General features: G+C 38.3%; 1 protein-coding gene across 5 annotated transcripts in view, besides 2 other annotated features; it reads left to right on the forward strand.

Moving 5' to 3' along the window:
* The window catches only part of ADCY2 (adenylate cyclase 2), a 433,944-nt gene that overhangs the window by 74,488 nt on the left and 342,802 nt on the right, over positions 1-16,654 (forward strand). The gene's annotated exons all lie outside the window — the stretch shown is intronic.
* Positions 10,244-10,744: an enhancer, noted in NCBI's record as "H3K4me1 hESC enhancer chr5:7480982-7481482 (GRCh37/hg19 assembly coordinates)". NCBI's record gives its function as "activates a minimal SCP1, AML or CMV promoter by ChIP-STARR-seq in primed H9 embryonic stem cells {active_cell/tissue: H9 hESC(primed)}" and the evidence as "EXISTENCE:reporter gene assay evidence [ECO:0000049][PMID:30033119]".
* Positions 10,745-11,245: an enhancer, noted in NCBI's record as "H3K4me1 hESC enhancer chr5:7481483-7481983 (GRCh37/hg19 assembly coordinates)". NCBI's record gives its function as "activates a minimal SCP1, AML or CMV promoter by ChIP-STARR-seq in primed H9 embryonic stem cells {active_cell/tissue: H9 hESC(primed)}" and the evidence as "EXISTENCE:reporter gene assay evidence [ECO:0000049][PMID:30033119]".

The raw sequence follows: 16,654 nt of genomic DNA on the forward strand, positions 1-16,654 counted from the left end.
CTGTATATATGTGTGTGTGTGTGTGTGTGTGTTTACAAATATATACATTTTAATGGCCCAGAACATGTTTTATTTTGATGAATATTCCTTCTATTGGTAATTAAAGAAAGAAAGTATAGTCTACCATTGTTGGATGAATTGTTCTGTAAAGGAATTAGGGTAAGTTGGTTGATGGTGTTTTTTCAGGTTTCTCCTCATTACTGATTTTCTGTCTACTTAATATATTAATTATTCAGACAGAGGTGTTGATTTTTCCAACTACGATTTGAGTTTATTTGAAGATGATCGATAGCTTTTGCTTTATGAATTTTGAAGCTGTGTTGCTAAGTGCATGCATGTTTGTTTCTTATGCCTTCTTCATGAATTTGCTCTTTTATCAGTAAGTAATGTCCTTTTTTATTATTAATAATATTCCTCATTCCAAAATATACTTTGTCTGACAAAATATAGCCACTCTAGTTTTCTTTCAATTAGGGTTTATCTTTTTTAAAATTTTTTAACTTTTACCCTATCAATGCCTTTATATTTAAACTGAGTTTCTTATAGACAGCATACATCATGTTGGGTATTACTTTCTTATCCAATCTGTCTGGCTTTTAATTGGTGTGTCTAACTATTTTAGAGTGACATAATTATTGGAAAGGTTAAAGACTACAATTTTGGTAGCTGTTTTCTATTTGTTCTTTATGTTCGTTTGGCATTTAAAAGTCCTGTCTGCCTGTTTCTTGATTATTTTTAATGATTTAAAAAAATCTCCCATTTTGGCTTATTATTTATACCTCTTAAAATTTTTGGTGGATACCCTTAATTATAGTCCACCCTTAAATAATTTTATGTCCCTTCATATGCATTTAAGGCACTTATAACAATAGACTCCCAATTTGTCCCTCCCATTTTTGTGCTATTTTTATATATCTTATTTTTACCTATGCTACAAATCTATAATATGTGGCTATCTTTCTATGATAAAATAAATTATATTTTAGAGTTATTTTAAAAGGTAAAAATATGTTTATGATTATATATTTTACATTTACTTTATTTCTGGAGATCTTCATTTGTTTGTGTAGATCCAAGTTTCTGTACTGTAGCTCTGCTGGTGATAAGTTCTATATGTTTTGCTTGTCTGAAAAAAAGTGTCATTTTTTCCATCAATTTGAGAGACATTTTCTTCTGTGTATATTCTGATTTGACAGCTTTTTCTCTTCAATATTTTAAAGATGCTACTCCATTGTTTATGTTCTTGCATAGTGTCTAACAAGGAGTCAGGTGTAATTCTTCTCTTTGTTCCTCCCTCTGTAATGTATTTTCACCTTCCCTGGAGGCCTCTTTTTGTTTTTGTTGTCTTTTTTGGTTTTGAATTTCAGTGGCTTGAAATTGATGTGTTTGGATTTTATTTCATTTTATTTTCACTTATCCAACTTGGTTTTCTCTGAGCTTCTTGGTTGTATTTACGGCTTGACATATTTCATTATCTGTAGAAGAATTCTCAGCTATTATGTCTTTTCCTTATGGGATTCTGATCACATAGGTTAGGCTGCTTGGTATTGTTGCACAACTCTGGAATGCAATGTTCTATTTGTTTTTCTCTGGCTTTCTTTTCCTTGTGCTCACATAAGATTAATTTGATTAGCCTATTTTGATTTCACTGATTCGTATCTAAACTTTCTTGAATTCACTTGTGAATCTATCAAAGGCGTCTTAAACTCTATTTTCATATTTTTATCTCTAGCATTGTAATTTTTCTGTTTCTTATGGCTCCTGAAATTATCCATATGTTTATAGATTTTGCCTACCTTTTCCAGTAGTCTTTAATATATTAATCATAGACATTTTAAATTCCCTTTCTGATATACATATATAATATATGATGCAAGGGAAATATGCATATATATATGCAAGTAGATATATATATGGTTTATCTTTTATCAATTCATTTTCCCTTGCATTTTCATGTGTCTCATAATTTTTGTTTGAATGTTAGGCTTTATGAATAGGACAGCAGAGACCGAGACAGATCAAATTTATGCCTAGAAATTAGCATACCTCTCCTTTAGCTAGGCTGGTAGTTTTGGAGGACTGATCAATCTTGCTAAGAATTCTGCTTGGTTTGGGTTTTGTCTTGCAATTTCAGTACACCACATTCTCTAACTTTACCTTGTCCTTAGGGTGTGTTCTGATTTGTTGGTTGGTGAGTTTTTTAAGTGTTATACTGGTTCCTGCTCCACTCTCAGCTTTAGGCTTCTCCTGTGTACCCTTTCCCCCAGAGAGGGTCTCTGTGTTTACTCCTGCCCTTCCTGAGTTGGTTTATACACTGCTCCTACTTGTTACTCAGACTTGCAAGCCCAATAGTGGGTCTCAGAGGAGGGGGATTCTTTGTTGTACTGGCCCTGCCTCAGTAATAGGCAGTCTCTGTGTTCCTGGAACCCTGGGATGGGTTTCTCAGTGGTCCTGCACCTCCCCCAGCATAAGGCACATTCTTATAATCTGGATAGAGGATGCTTTCCTGTCCCTTCCCCAGGCATAAAGGGTGTCTAAGTCCATTTATGTTGTTCTAAAGGAATACCTGAGGCTGAGTATTTTGTAAAAAACATAAGTTTATTTGGCTTACGATTCTGCTGGATGCACAAGAAGCATGGCACCCACATCTTCTGGTGGGGGCCTCCAGCTGCTTCCAACATGGCGGAAGGAATAGGAAAGCCAGCATGTGCAGACATCACATGGTGAGAGAGAAGCAAGAGAGAGTGGGGGGAGGTGCCAGGCTCTTTTGAACAAGTAGCTGTGGTGGGAACTAATAGGACAAGAATTCACTCATTATCTCAAGGACTGCACCAGGTTATTTTTGAGGAACCCACCCCCATGACCCAAACACCTCCCACTAGGCCCTGCCTCCAACATTGGGAATAAAATGTCAACATGAAATTTGGAGGGGACAAATATCCAAATCATATCAGAGGGCTCTTTTAAAATACCTTTACCTTTCTCCCAGGTGTAGTAGATCTTCACCTGTACCCTGGGAATGACAGGGTATCATGCCTTTTCTTAGCAATTTAAGGCCTTAACATGATAAAGGTCAGTCCTCTGTTTCCTTTCTGCAGTGGTAGGCATTCTCTTCTCCCTGACTTGAACTATCAAGAGAGACTTCAACCTCTTTCTCTTCTAGCTCCCAACCTTTCTTATGAATGCTTGGTGGAGGCCTGTGGAGAAAAGCCTGTAAACAGGAATGTGCTCTTCTTACATCTCAATTCCCAGGGTTCTCTCCTTTCAGGCTAGCCCTGGGTCTTAGCAGTTCATTAAAGTTGCAGCTGACATCTTACCTGCCTGCATGGTGGCCCTGTCTTCCGTTTGTTCAGCCACAAATGAGTCAGTATTCATGCCATTCTCCCCTGGGAAGCAGCTGTCTTTCTTAAGATTTTAGGCCAGTTCATTGCTCTGTGACCTCAGCTCTCTGAAGAGTTCAAGGAATGGTATGAATTTGTAAGTTATCATGCTTTTTCTTTGTGATAGGCTTGGAGCAATGCTCTTTACAGGTAATTGCATTCTAACCAGAAGCCAGAGCTCTTACTTACTTAACTTTACATTCTCAATCTATTCATTAACTCATTTGTTGAACAAAGCAAGATTGAACATGTAGGAAGCTAGGTACAGAGCTTTCTCATGAAGATACTGCATACAAGGACAGACTTGGCCCTGCTTTATGGTGCTCACAAACATATAAGAAAATAAAGCAATAATGCAATGAAGGGAAAAAATGGGAGTGCTCTGAAGGAGATTAACAAGATGCTGTAATAGGGAGTCAAAAGGATCTGATGTGGGAGAGGGAGTGTACTGGACAATGCTCTTAAGGAGATGAAATGGTGCAGAAATCTGAAGGCTGAAAAGAAGCAAGCCTTAAGAGTTGTGGTTGTGGCAGTTTTTGGAAGGGATTTTGGAGACAATTTTCCAGACAGAAGATATCAAAGAAACCCAGCGAGGAGACTGCTAAAGGAATGAATAAAAGGCCACTGAGCCGGGCAGAGAGAGCCTCTGAGGAGAAGTGCAAGACAGGGGCGGCAGAGCCAGGTTTTGTAGCTTGTGGAGGTGGTGGAAAGAAAGAAGCTTGGGTTTTACTGTAAGCACACTGGGAAGTGGCTGGTGGATTGTACAAGAATTCACATATCAACTGGGATCCTAATGGAAATAGATAACACCTCTCTGGTGGGGTGGTTGGAAAGTGTTAATGAAGCCAGTGTTAACAAGGCCTAGGCCAGTTTAAGAGAAAATAACTCGGATGATGCAGCCCCCAGGCCAGCCACAATGGGCAGCTGTTACCAGCCTAGCCTGAGTGGGGAAGGGTATCCCTGGACCTGGGCCACAAGCGTCCAGAGCGCTCCCGGGAGGCGTGGCTTTGGCAGGAGGGTCGCTGGCCTGGGTGACCCAGCAGGGGGAGTCCTCCCACCTCCTGCCTGGGCCTCTGGTGGGAAACTCCATGGGAAGCCAACATGGAAAGGAACCCATTGGCCAGTTCTGACAGCTGCTTCTCCAGCACATAGGTGAAGTGCGGAGAGTGGATATGAAGAGAAAACCGGAAGTGCAAAGACCGGAAGTGCGAAGAAGATCAGAGGTAAAGAGAAAATCCCAAGTGGGCAGCCCTGAAGTGAACAAGGCCTGAATCTCCTCTGAGGGGTCACTGTATCCGTGGTCTGGAGAATGGAGAGGGCGGATGTGAAGTCAGGAGCAGGGAGAGGTCCTGTGCTGGAGGACAGGGAGAAACTTGAGATTTTTTTTTTTTTTTAGATAGAGTTTCACTCTTGTTGCCCAGGCTGGAGTGCAATGGCACCATCTCGGCTCACTGCAACCTCCGTCCCCCGGGTTTGAGAGATTCTCCTGACTCAGCCTCCCAAGTATCTGGGATTACAGGCACGCGCCAACACGTCTGGCCAATTTTTGTATTTTTAGTAGAGACGGAGTTTCGCCACGTTGGCCAGGCTGTTCTCGAACCCCTGACTTCTGGCGATCCACCCGCCTCGGCCTCCCAAAGTGTTAGGATTACAGGCATGAGCCACTGCACCCGGCAAGATGTATTTTTAAAGGAGAACAAGCGTGACTTGTTGAGTGAGATTTGAAGGGTGAGGCAAAGTCAAGAGCAGCTCCCAGGCTTTGGAGGAGGGCAGAAGCCTGCACTCCTTTCCGAAATGAGGAGACTGTGGCGGGACTGAGTTCGAGGGAGAAAGCTTCAGTGATGTTTTGGAGATCTAAAGTCTGAGTGGACTTTGGAACAGCCAAGTGGAGATGTCATACTTCTAATATATACATTCTTCTAATTAAAAAAATCTTCTCATATGTGAGTAATGTACTTAATCAGAACTCATTTTTGAAGTTCACCATAGTTTTTCAACCCGTTGGTATTAATAATATCAGAGAGGAGTAGACAGACGGTGACAGCATGAAAAGAAATACCGCGTCTTCCTGTGCTCTGACACTTCTGGTATCACTGTAAGCCCAGGAACTTTAAAAGTACTTCTTGAAAACCCATTTTAGCACTGAAAATACATTTTCCACATTCAGTGAATCTGCTAAAGCTTGTTCCATATTTAGTAGGAGACGTCTGGATGGGGGTAAAAAAAAAAAAGTATGAATGTTGGAGCTTGGGGCTGGGTGACTGGGTGAGATCCCCCAGGAAGCTAACATGGGTGGAGAAGACCCAGCCCACAGGCCAGGCCTGGTGGATCCCCCACGCCTGGACATTGTTGTGGGAGGACATGGAGCAGCCAGTGAGACAGGAGGAAAACAGCGTCCTGTGAGGGAAGTGTGGGGAGTTGGCGATGCCAGAGTGGTCAACAGAGCCCGAAACTCCTCAGGGACTCAGGAAGAAAGTCAAAATGTAGCCCTGGAACATGTGTGTGCCCTAAACACTGGGAACTGGCTTCTTCTAGGCCCCTTCCCTTTGGGTGTCATCAGGAACTGTCTCAGTGTAAGGCCACCAGTCTTCTCCCAAGTTTAGTTCCCAGTGACCTGCCGATGGAGACCCCTGAAGAGATCCAGATTTCCCAAAAGCCGCTTCTCAGAGCTGATTCTTATGGTTCTGTCTTGTCTACACAAGGATGGACAAGATCAACAGCAAATGGATGATCTCCAGAAATCTCTTCATTTCCACATTTCAAAAAGTTCCACTGCTCACATTATTCTCTTATTTATAAGTCAATGTCTTGTTTTCTAATATATAAGCAAAAATATTGTGCATCTAATTGAGAACATTTATGAAGTTCACCATCTTTGCTTTTTGCAACTCAGTAATAATATCAGACAGGAGTAGCCAAACTTTGGAGGAGCAGAAAAAGAAATATTGTGTCTTGCTTTTCTTTGACACCTAGAATATTACTTTGTGTCCAAGAAACTTAAGAGTACTTCTTGAAAACCATAAAATTTTAGCTCTGCGAATACGTTCTCCAGCATCTAGTAAAGCTTGTTCCACACGTAACATTACCTCGCTCTTGTTCTTATAGTTATATTTATCTCCAGTTTCTTCTCTGTTTCCTCTAATGATAATGGATTATAAAGGCAGAAGGATCCTTTTGCAGAAAGGACTTGATGTTTTTTTTAAAAGAGACCCCCATTAAAAGAGCCAGGCTAAATCAAGAGACAGAAAATATTGAATTTTTAAATGAAAATAGAAAAGCTATTTAATATCCTTAATTCTAGCCTAGTTTCTCATATGCCCTCACTATGTGCTTTAGAGTATTGTCTGCATATTCTGGAACTGTCAATTTTAAAGGAATACATAGATGAAGTGGTGCATTCATTTATATTCTACTTGCAGAATTGTCAACCTTGAGTTGGAAGGTAAACTAGAAATAGAGGAGCTCTTCTCTAGTTCACCATCTAGTACCTGCTGTCAGTCACATAGCAGGTGCCAGAAAAGACAGCACCTGAGAGGAAATCTCTAAGCTTGCATACTTCTGTTTAGCACCTTAAGTGTGCACCAGAGACAGCTCAGGCCATTCCTAAAGGCCCTGGTGTTTTTCTTTAGATAACTTTTGAAGATTTGCTCTTATCCAGTCTTCAGTTTACATGCATTTCTGTGTTTTTAGATAAAATACCTTTGTGTAAAATATTGTTTGAGGCCTAATCAGAACTAAGTCTAGAGAATTGAAACCATCTCTGGGGGAAATTAACTGATGTGAACGGGAATTGAACCTGTCATCGTCGCCGTATCACTGCTCTACTCTTAACATCTAGTGATTTAAATAAAGCAAGAAAAATATTTAATTACATCAGATATATGCATTTACCCTGGTGGCAGTAATTACTTTTTGTGAATGGACACAGCTGTGAACCTAGGGGCATTTACTTCACTGTATTTAGTCTTTTAACCCACATGGTGTCTGGAAGATTTAAAATAACCGGAAAGATTTTCTTGACTGACTGACTAAATGAATATAAAATATTGGTTGATAAAAGTGACAGTGGTGTGGTATTTCTGTAACTTTGTACATTTACTTTATCAATATCGCAGACTCAGGGCTTATTTATTAATATCTCCTTCTGGGGTTCTGTGGGCAGTTATAACCTACTGCTTCCAGGTGAGCAGGGTTGTCTTTGTGGGTTCTCTCTCTGAACTGTTGGGTACACTCTAGGCCTAGTTGACCGATAACAAAAGGGTTAACAAGGATCTGGGTTCTGCTAAAACAAACATGTAAACTAATGTGGCCATTAACTAGCATATGCAATTGAAGCAGCATATGAGGAAATGTTATTCCATATAAAAATAGTGTCACCTTTTACATTAATTTCTCGTATGTGTACTTACACATTTTTGTGTATACATAAGTGTGTATATATAAACTCTTTATAATTACAGAATATACTTAACATACCAGAAACTCAAATATCTGTTGAATGAATGTTGTATCTTTGCTGTTTAATAAATGTTTATTGAACCATTTGAATGAAAGGGGAAACATATTTGATAAGGTAATATTGTTTTGTCAGCTAATGTTTTATGGTAAGGCTAATCTTTGAAAGCACACAAAGGCACCTCTATTTGTACAGGATTACTAAACTCAACACACACTGATGTTTTTTTAAAGGGAAAGTTCCTGGCCTGAAAAACAACTGATACCGAAAGTGTGTTTATTTTGCACTGATGATGCATTAGAATCATCCAAAGGGATGATAGATTTTACATTATGTATTGGAGTCATAGTAAAACACTAATCCTTCTATATGACCACAGCTGCATACAGGACATTTAGTAACAGTCTGTGATCCAGCATGAATGTGCATGCTTTTAAGTTTAATTTGATAGTTCAGCGTGTCATTTATACAGGTAAAATGCCTGAATTTAGAATTAATAAGCTCTTATAGAATTAAATATTTATCTTTTATTTTATAAAGGCATAACTTTTTTCGCTCATATTATTGTCAGTGTTTGGATGATTAAAACTTGGCAAGAACCATAGATTTGCGATGTATTATTGGTGATATCCTTGGAATCTAAAGTAGATTATTATATACTTGATTCATGAATTATAGTTCATGCATTGGTGCGTTTAGGGGTTAAAATCCAGCATGAGGAGGTCTGGAATAAAAGTATAACTTCTTAAAAAGGGGCACGTTTGAATAAGAGTGATAAGATTATAAATAAACCATGGTGTCGCAGAAACACTGTACTGGCTCATTCTTTATGATTCAGGTGCTGGGATCATAACGTTATTTACTCAAATGTAAGAAGAAAATCCAACAACTGTCTCAAGAGTTATCTGATTTTAGCTACAGTCTCACAGCTTAGTAAATCTGTTCCATCAATAATAAAATGGAGGAATCATTATATTTTATTTTAATTTTTAATTTTTGTGGGTACATAGGTATATATATTTATGGGTTATGTGGTATATTTTGATATAGGCATGCAATGCATAATAACCACATCAGGGTAAATGGGGTATCTATCACCCCAAGGATTTATCTTTTGTGTTACAAACAATCAAATTGTACTCTTATAGTTATTTTAAAATGTACAATTAAAATTTTTTTTTTTTACTATAGTCACCCTGTTGTGCTAGCAAATACTAGGTCTTATTTATTCTTTAAGTAATTTTTGTACCCATTATCCATACCCAGTGTCCCGTAAATCCCCCCAGTTACCCTTCCCAGCCTCTGGTGGTCATCCTTTTACTCTCTAGCTTCATGAGTTCAATTGTTTTAATTTTTAGTTGCCACAAATGGGTGAGAATGTGCAAAGTTAGTGTTTCTGTTCCTGGCTTATTTCATGTAACATAATAATGACCAGTTCCTTAAACAAATTTACTAGAAAAAACAAACCACCCCATTAAAAATTGGGAAAAGGACATGAACAGATACTTTTCAAAAGAAGATATGCTTGCAGCTAATAATCATATGAAAAAAAGCTCAACATCACTGATCATTAGAGAAATACAAATCAAAACCACAATGAGATACCATCTCACATAAGTCAGGATGGCTACTATTAAACAGTCAAAAAATAACAGATGCTGGCAAGTTTACAGAGAAAAAAGAGTGCTTATACACTGTTAGTGGGTGTGTAAATGAGTTCAACCACTGTGGAAGACAGTGTGGTGATTCCTCAGAGACCTAAAGACAGAAATACCAATCTCATTACTGGGTATATACCCAAAGGAATATAAATCGTTCCATTATAAGGACACATGTATTGGAGTATTCATTGCATCACTGTCTGCAATAGCAAAGACACTGAATCAACCTAAATGCCCAATAATGATAGACTGGATAAAGAAAATATGGTACATATGTACCATGGAATACTGTGTAGCAATAAAAAAGAATGAGATCATGTCCTTTGCAGGGATATGGATGGACCTGGAGACCATTATCCTTAGAAGACTAATACATGAACAGAAAACCAAATACCATAGGTTCTCACTTATAAATGGGAGCTGAATTATGAGAACACATGGACACATAGAGGGGAACAACACACACGGGGGCCTATTGGAGGGTGAAGAGTGGGAGAAGGGGGAGGATCCGGAAAAATGACTGATGGGTAATAGGCTTAATACCTGGGTCATGAAATAATCTGTACAACAAACCCCCATGACACAAGTTTACCTATATAACAAACCTGCACATGTACCCCTGAACTTAAAATAAAAGTTGAATTAAAAATAGTAATGAGTTCCTTCCACATTGTTGCAAATGACAGAGATATAATTCTTTTTTGTGGCTGAATAGTACTCCATTATGTATATGTACCACATTTTCTTTATCCATTCATCTGCTGATGGGCACTTGGGTTGCGTCCAAATCTTGGCTATAGTGGATAGTGCTGCAATAAACATGGGAATGCAGATATCTCTTTGGCATGCCAATTTTCTCTTTTTGGGGTATATACTGAGGAGTAGGATTGCTGGATCATATGGTAACTCTATTTTTAGTTTTTGAGGACCCTTTATGCTGTTCTCCATAGTGGTTGGACTAATTTATGTTTTCACCAACATTTTACAAGGGTTTCCCTTTCTCCACATCCTTGCCAGCATCTGTTATTTCCTCTCTTAAGGATAGTAGCCATTTTAACTGGGGTGAGATGATATCTCACTGCAGTTTTGATTTGCATTTCTCCGATAATGAATGATGTTGAGTACCTTTTCTGTTTTTTGTTGTTGCTGTTGTTGTTCTTTTGGGACAGAGTCTCCCTCTGTCACCCAGGCTGGAGTGCAGTGGCACGATCTCGGCTCACTGCAAGCTCCGCCTCCCGGGTTCACGCCATTCTCTCGCCTCAGCTTCCTGAGCAGCTGGGACTACAGGCGCCTGCCACCACGCCTGGCTAATTTTTTGTATTTTTTAGTAGAGACGGGGTTTCACTGTGTTAGTCAGGATGGTCTCGATCTCTTGACCTCATGATCCGCTTGCCTCGGCCTCCCAAAGTGCTGGGATTACAGGCGTGAGCCACCACGCCTGGCCTATGTTGAGTACCTTTTCATATGCCTATTAGCCATTTGTACATCTTCTTTTGAGAAATTATTCAAATCATTTGCCCATTTTTCAATTGGATTATTAGATTCTCTCCAATAGAGTTGTTTGTTATTCTGGTTATTAATTCCTTGTCAGAACAGCAGTCTGTATATATCTTCTGCCATCCAATGAGTTGTCTCTTCACCATGCTGATTTGTGTGTGTGTGTGTGTGTGTGTGCAGAAGCTTTTTAACTTGATGTAATCCTATTTGTCCATTTTTTTGCTTTGATTGCCTGTGCTTGTGAGGTATTACTCAAGAAACCTTTGCACAATGTCCTGGAGTGTTTCCCCCATGTTTTTCTTTAGTAGTTTTATAGTTTGAGGCACTATATTTTATTTCTAAATTTATTTCTAAGATGGTCCAATTACTATAGGAAGTTAGTTTGAGATGAAGTTCTGAAAGTCATGATTTACGGTGAATTATTATAGCTCTAAGTCTGTCACTATGTGTATTTTCCCTCCTGACTCAGAAATGGTATAAGATTTAAATTTTCAAAAAGTATTGATCTGGGGTTAGATGGCATCTCATTGTGGTTTTGATTTGCATTTACCCAACAGTGACACTGAGCATTTTTTCCATAAACCTGTTGTTCACTTGTATGTATCCTTTTGAGAAATGTCTACTCAGATCCTTTACCCAATTCTTATGGGATTATTATTATTTTACTTCATTTTTTGCTGTTGGGTTGTTTGAGTTCTTTTTGTATTCTGGATATTAGTCCCTTGTCAGATGAATAGTTTGCAAATAATTTCTCTCATTCTTCAGGTTGTTTCTCATTCTTGATCATTTCCTTTGCTATACAGAATCTTGTTAGTTTAAAATAGTCCTATTAGTCTATTTCATTATTGTTGCCTGTGCTTGAAGATGTGGAGCAAACTCTTATGTACTGTTGGTGGGAACTTTTATGTACTGTTGATGTAAATTAGCACACTCATTATGCACAACAGTATGGAGGTTTCTCAAAAAACTAAAACTAGAACTACCATACAATCTAACAATCCCACTACTGGGTATTTATCCAAGGAAAAGAAATCCTTATATCAAAGAGATACCTGCACCTTGATGTTTATTGTAGCACTATTCCTAATAGCCATGATATGGAACCCACCTAAGTGTCTATCAGCTGATGAATGGATAAAGAAAATGTGATATATATATATATATATATATATACACACACACATACATATATACATATATGTATAATGAAATGCTATTCAGTCATAAAGATAATTAAATCCTCTCATTTGCAGCAACGTGGATGGAACTGGAGGTTCAATGACATAAGCCGGGCACAGAAAGACGAATACCACATGTTCTCACTCTTATGTGGGAGCTAAAAACATTGATCTCATGGAGTAGAGTGTGGAATGATAGTAAGCAGAGGCTGGGAAGGGTGTGAGGGAAGAGGGATGAAGAGACATTGGTTAATGGGTACAAACATACAGTTAGATACAAGGAATAAGCTCTAGTGCCCAGTAACACAGTAGCGTTACTGTAGTTAACAGTAATTTATTGTATATTTCTAAATAGTTAGAAGAGAAGAATTAGAATATTTCCAACAAAAAATGACAAATGTTTGAGGTAATAGATATCCTAACTATCCTGATTTGATTATTATATATTATATGCATGTATCAGAATGTCACATGTACCCCATTAGTATGTACAATTATTATGTATCGAAAAATTTTGAGAGTAGTCATCTGCTGGGACTGTGATTCAAGAATTTGCAGGTTAGGTAATCCTTCAGAGAACATGCTAGCCTTTCAGTGATGATTGAAAACTGCAGTACATAAAAAAAAAAAAGCATTTCATCTTAGAGAGACCAGTGGCATTTGTTTCATTATTAACCAGAGTACTGAAAACATTTCATTTCATGAATGTCATGTAAAAATGTAAGAGGGTCACCAACAAATTAAAGTAATATATTTTGAAAGCTTCTTCACATTAAGACTTTTTTGTACTGTTCTGACATGACCTCGGGTGTTTGGAGCCCAGGGAGATGACATGGCATGGGAGTGCCGGGTGGAAGGTGCTAGAATGTGCCATTGAGTGACATTTTAGAGGGGCTGCCTTGCTGGCCCTGTCCACAGTCTCAGGCACTCCCACTGGAATACACCATCTGTGCCTCCTCTCCTTCCTCCTATGAATGGCCTCCTATTTCATCTTTTCCTCTCCAAATCTGGTTCAATACACAAAATGCGATTCAGTTGTCTTTTACTCTATCAAGCCTTGCTAATCTGCAGTTCTCGCTCTTAAGTAATATTAATAATTTCCAGTATTATTTGCTTGCATATTACTGGGAAATTTACAAACATTTTTATGAAAATCTTATGTTATTGAGCTCCGATTGATACTATCTCATCATCAGTTAATATTGATAGACTAGATTTTATCTTTCAAGGTGAGGAAACCCAGGTTCCAAGAAGTTAAATGATGCTCTTGTAAGACATCAATATTTACTTTAATCCATCTGTCAATTGATGAAATAGTCTTCCTCTTGACAAAATACAATGTTAAATCAATTATAATGTCCCAAGCTTTTATTCTACTTATATACTACGGAGTTGAAAATATGATTATGGGTGCTTTGAGAGGTCTTCTAAGTGACCAGCTAAATAAACAACAAATATACAGCATTCAGAATTTATTCATAATATAGTAATACCCAATTAGAAAATGGATTAGGGAAAAATAATCCAATTTGCAGGACCTACAAGGTTTTTAAAAAATGCATTTTATAACAAATGTGCATCATCTTCCCAGGGAAAATAATGAAATTGTGTGAGTGTGCCTGTTGATCTAAAGGAAGCCTTGAATGAATGGAGCACTGCTGCAGAGAGACCCAAGCTCCATTAGCCTTCCTGGAACTGCCCAGAAAGTAACTGCCTTCAAAGGACAATTCCACGTCTTCTCTCCTCTCTTTGTCTATTCTCATTCCCAGATGATGACTTTGTTTTTTATCCTATGTCACTGGAAAGTTTTAAGCAATCTGAAGAGCTTCCACCACCACATCCAAATAACTACACTTCTATCCTCTTTCTTTCTATCATAAACTATGACATGCCTGTGGCTCTCCGATCTTGGGCCAGCTTCTCTTGGGTACCAGTTTTCAGGTATTCTCAGCTACCCAGCTGTTTTTGTTTTCCTTTCTCTTCTGCATCCTAAAAATCTCTCTGCTAGATGTTTTCCTTCAGTACACTTACATTTTACTTCTTACATGTTAAAATTCAGCACTTCAGACCCGATTTCCCATAAACTGCCATCCCATTCCTCTCTTCTCATTGATAACAAACTCTTTGAAAGAATTGTCTGTGCTCCTTGGTCCCAGTCTTCCGTAGACCCCATGCCAATCTGGAGTGGATGACATCAGAAAGGAGGTAAGAGGAGCCAGAGGAGAGTACAGGTCACAGAATGAGCCCATTCAGCGAAACTACACTTAAGGTCATCTTGACAAGGTCACCAGTAACTTACATGTCACTAACTAAATTCAGTGGACCAATTATCAGCCCTCTTTATACCTGCTGTACACAGGGAGTTCCTTTCTCCCTCCGAAACTTGAATAGATATGGCTATGCAGACATTTAAAACTTTTATAAGTCTAAGTAGAAAACATAGACATATAAAGAATTTTAATAAACTATCAATTGGAAAAAGTATATGAAAGTTATCTGAGAGGCAAAAGGTTAACATTCTTGACATATAGAGAGCTTTTTATGTTTAATAATAAAATCAAAATAAAATAGACAAAGACATGAATGTAAAATTCGTGGAACAAAAAAAGCATGAAAAAATTAAGTTTAATTTCAGCAATAATAAATAAATTCAAACTAACATGTCAGGGATATGACATGCTTTCAAAACAGAAAGAATTATAATGCAAAGCAGAAGAGATACACACATATTTTGCTGATGGAGTGAAGGTTGCTACAAATTCATGAAAAGGATTTTGGTGATTTTTTTTCTTACATCTTAAAATGTGCATTTCCTTTGACATATTAGTTTCTCATCTGGTGAACTATCCTAAGAACATAATTATATAAATATGCAAAATATATAACTGAGTCTTCATTGGAAGCATTCTGCAGTAGAGAAGCACTACATTTTAAAAAACTATGACACATTAGCATAAACTATGATATAAAGTTTTATTAACATTCTAGTTGTGATACATCATTACAGAACTATATATGTGGTACAATCTTGTTTTTGTTCTTTATATTAGAAAAACAGATAGGAGGAGAAATATCCAGATAATAAAAGGAGTGATCTATGGCTGTGGATGTTAAAGATATTTACAGTGATAGTCCCCCTCATTTGAATCTTTTACATTTATTTTAATAAATATCTATTTTTATGAGGATAAAGTAATAAAATAGAATAAAACACGACATTCTTATAAGGGAAAGTTCTGAGTTTAAATCCAAGGTGACAATATATGTGATATTATTCATTACGAACAAATAAGATGAGAGAAACTGAATGAGTTCCTGGGGAAACTTTGTCTCTAGGTGCAGGTGGGCATTCAAAGTGTGCACTGCCCGACTGTCGCTATCTCTTCATTATAGTGCTGTTGCAAATTTTAAAGAGTTTCATGAAGTATCGTAATAGTCAAAGTTTATACACAGACGTGATACACAGTTGTGAATGGGCACACAAATGTACATATATTTCCATGCTTATACACACAGGAGTTAACATGCACACACATAAATATGTACATACACGTATTTCTAGTTGAGTCTTCTGGCACATCCCTGATACTTGGTTTATAAACTTTCTGTGCGAATTTCTCCAAGTTATTTTTAACATGAATTTTAAGGGCAGTTAAAACAAAGCTTTTGTGTTAGAAACTGAGAGTTTCAGACAGTGTTTAGGGAAGGGCAACACCCGCTCTTTGCAGTAGCTGATAGCTGCATGAGCAACTGTGAATGTCTCTGGCCTATCTAGGCTGATCATCACTGTGGAAACAGACCTTGCTTTATAGGAAATGGGGTAGGGTGCCTGAAGTATCATGCTTAGCTTCACCTTGCTCACATAGCAACTTCCATTTCTTGCCTCCATAAATTCTGACATTTTACAAAGAGAAATTTACAAAAAAAGAAAAAAATACTGACTTTGGAGCACATACTGCCATTGGAGCAAGCTGACTTGCAGGTAAAATGAGATCGATCAGAAGTTTGTTAGATGTGAGCTAAAATTGAGACACAGTGCCTGGCAGTGACTGCACAGGTCCAAGGTAGGCAAGTCAGAATAAAGTGGCATGTGCGTTGGAGGTCAGGGTTCCTTGATAAGGCCAGTTCCTGGAAGGGAATGGCCTCAGTCTCCCATGCGGTGGAAGACAACATGCCTCTGGGGACCAGACACCATGCTAAGGTGGCAGTGTCATGGACACAGGCTTCCTCCCAGTGGTTTCAAAGCATTAGTTCGAGTTCATGCCTGTGAATGAAAGATCTGTCTTTCAAGATGTCTTAAAAAGGCTATGTGTGTGATTGCTTGGCCTGGGCCTTCAGGAAAGTATTATGGTCCTTGATATGAGACAGCTGTCCACCCATGCTGGATCTCTGGAATTCAGATTCACCCCTTCTCCAGACCATCACAGCCAAGGGCCTGCCCATCCTGTCAGTCCCAGTGCCTGCTTGTCATGCTATGGGTCA

This window comes from Homo sapiens, chromosome 5 (genome assembly GCF_000001405.40).
Source record: "Homo sapiens chromosome 5, GRCh38.p14 Primary Assembly".
In the NCBI taxonomy this organism is placed as follows: domain Eukaryota; kingdom Metazoa; phylum Chordata; class Mammalia; order Primates; family Hominidae; genus Homo; species Homo sapiens.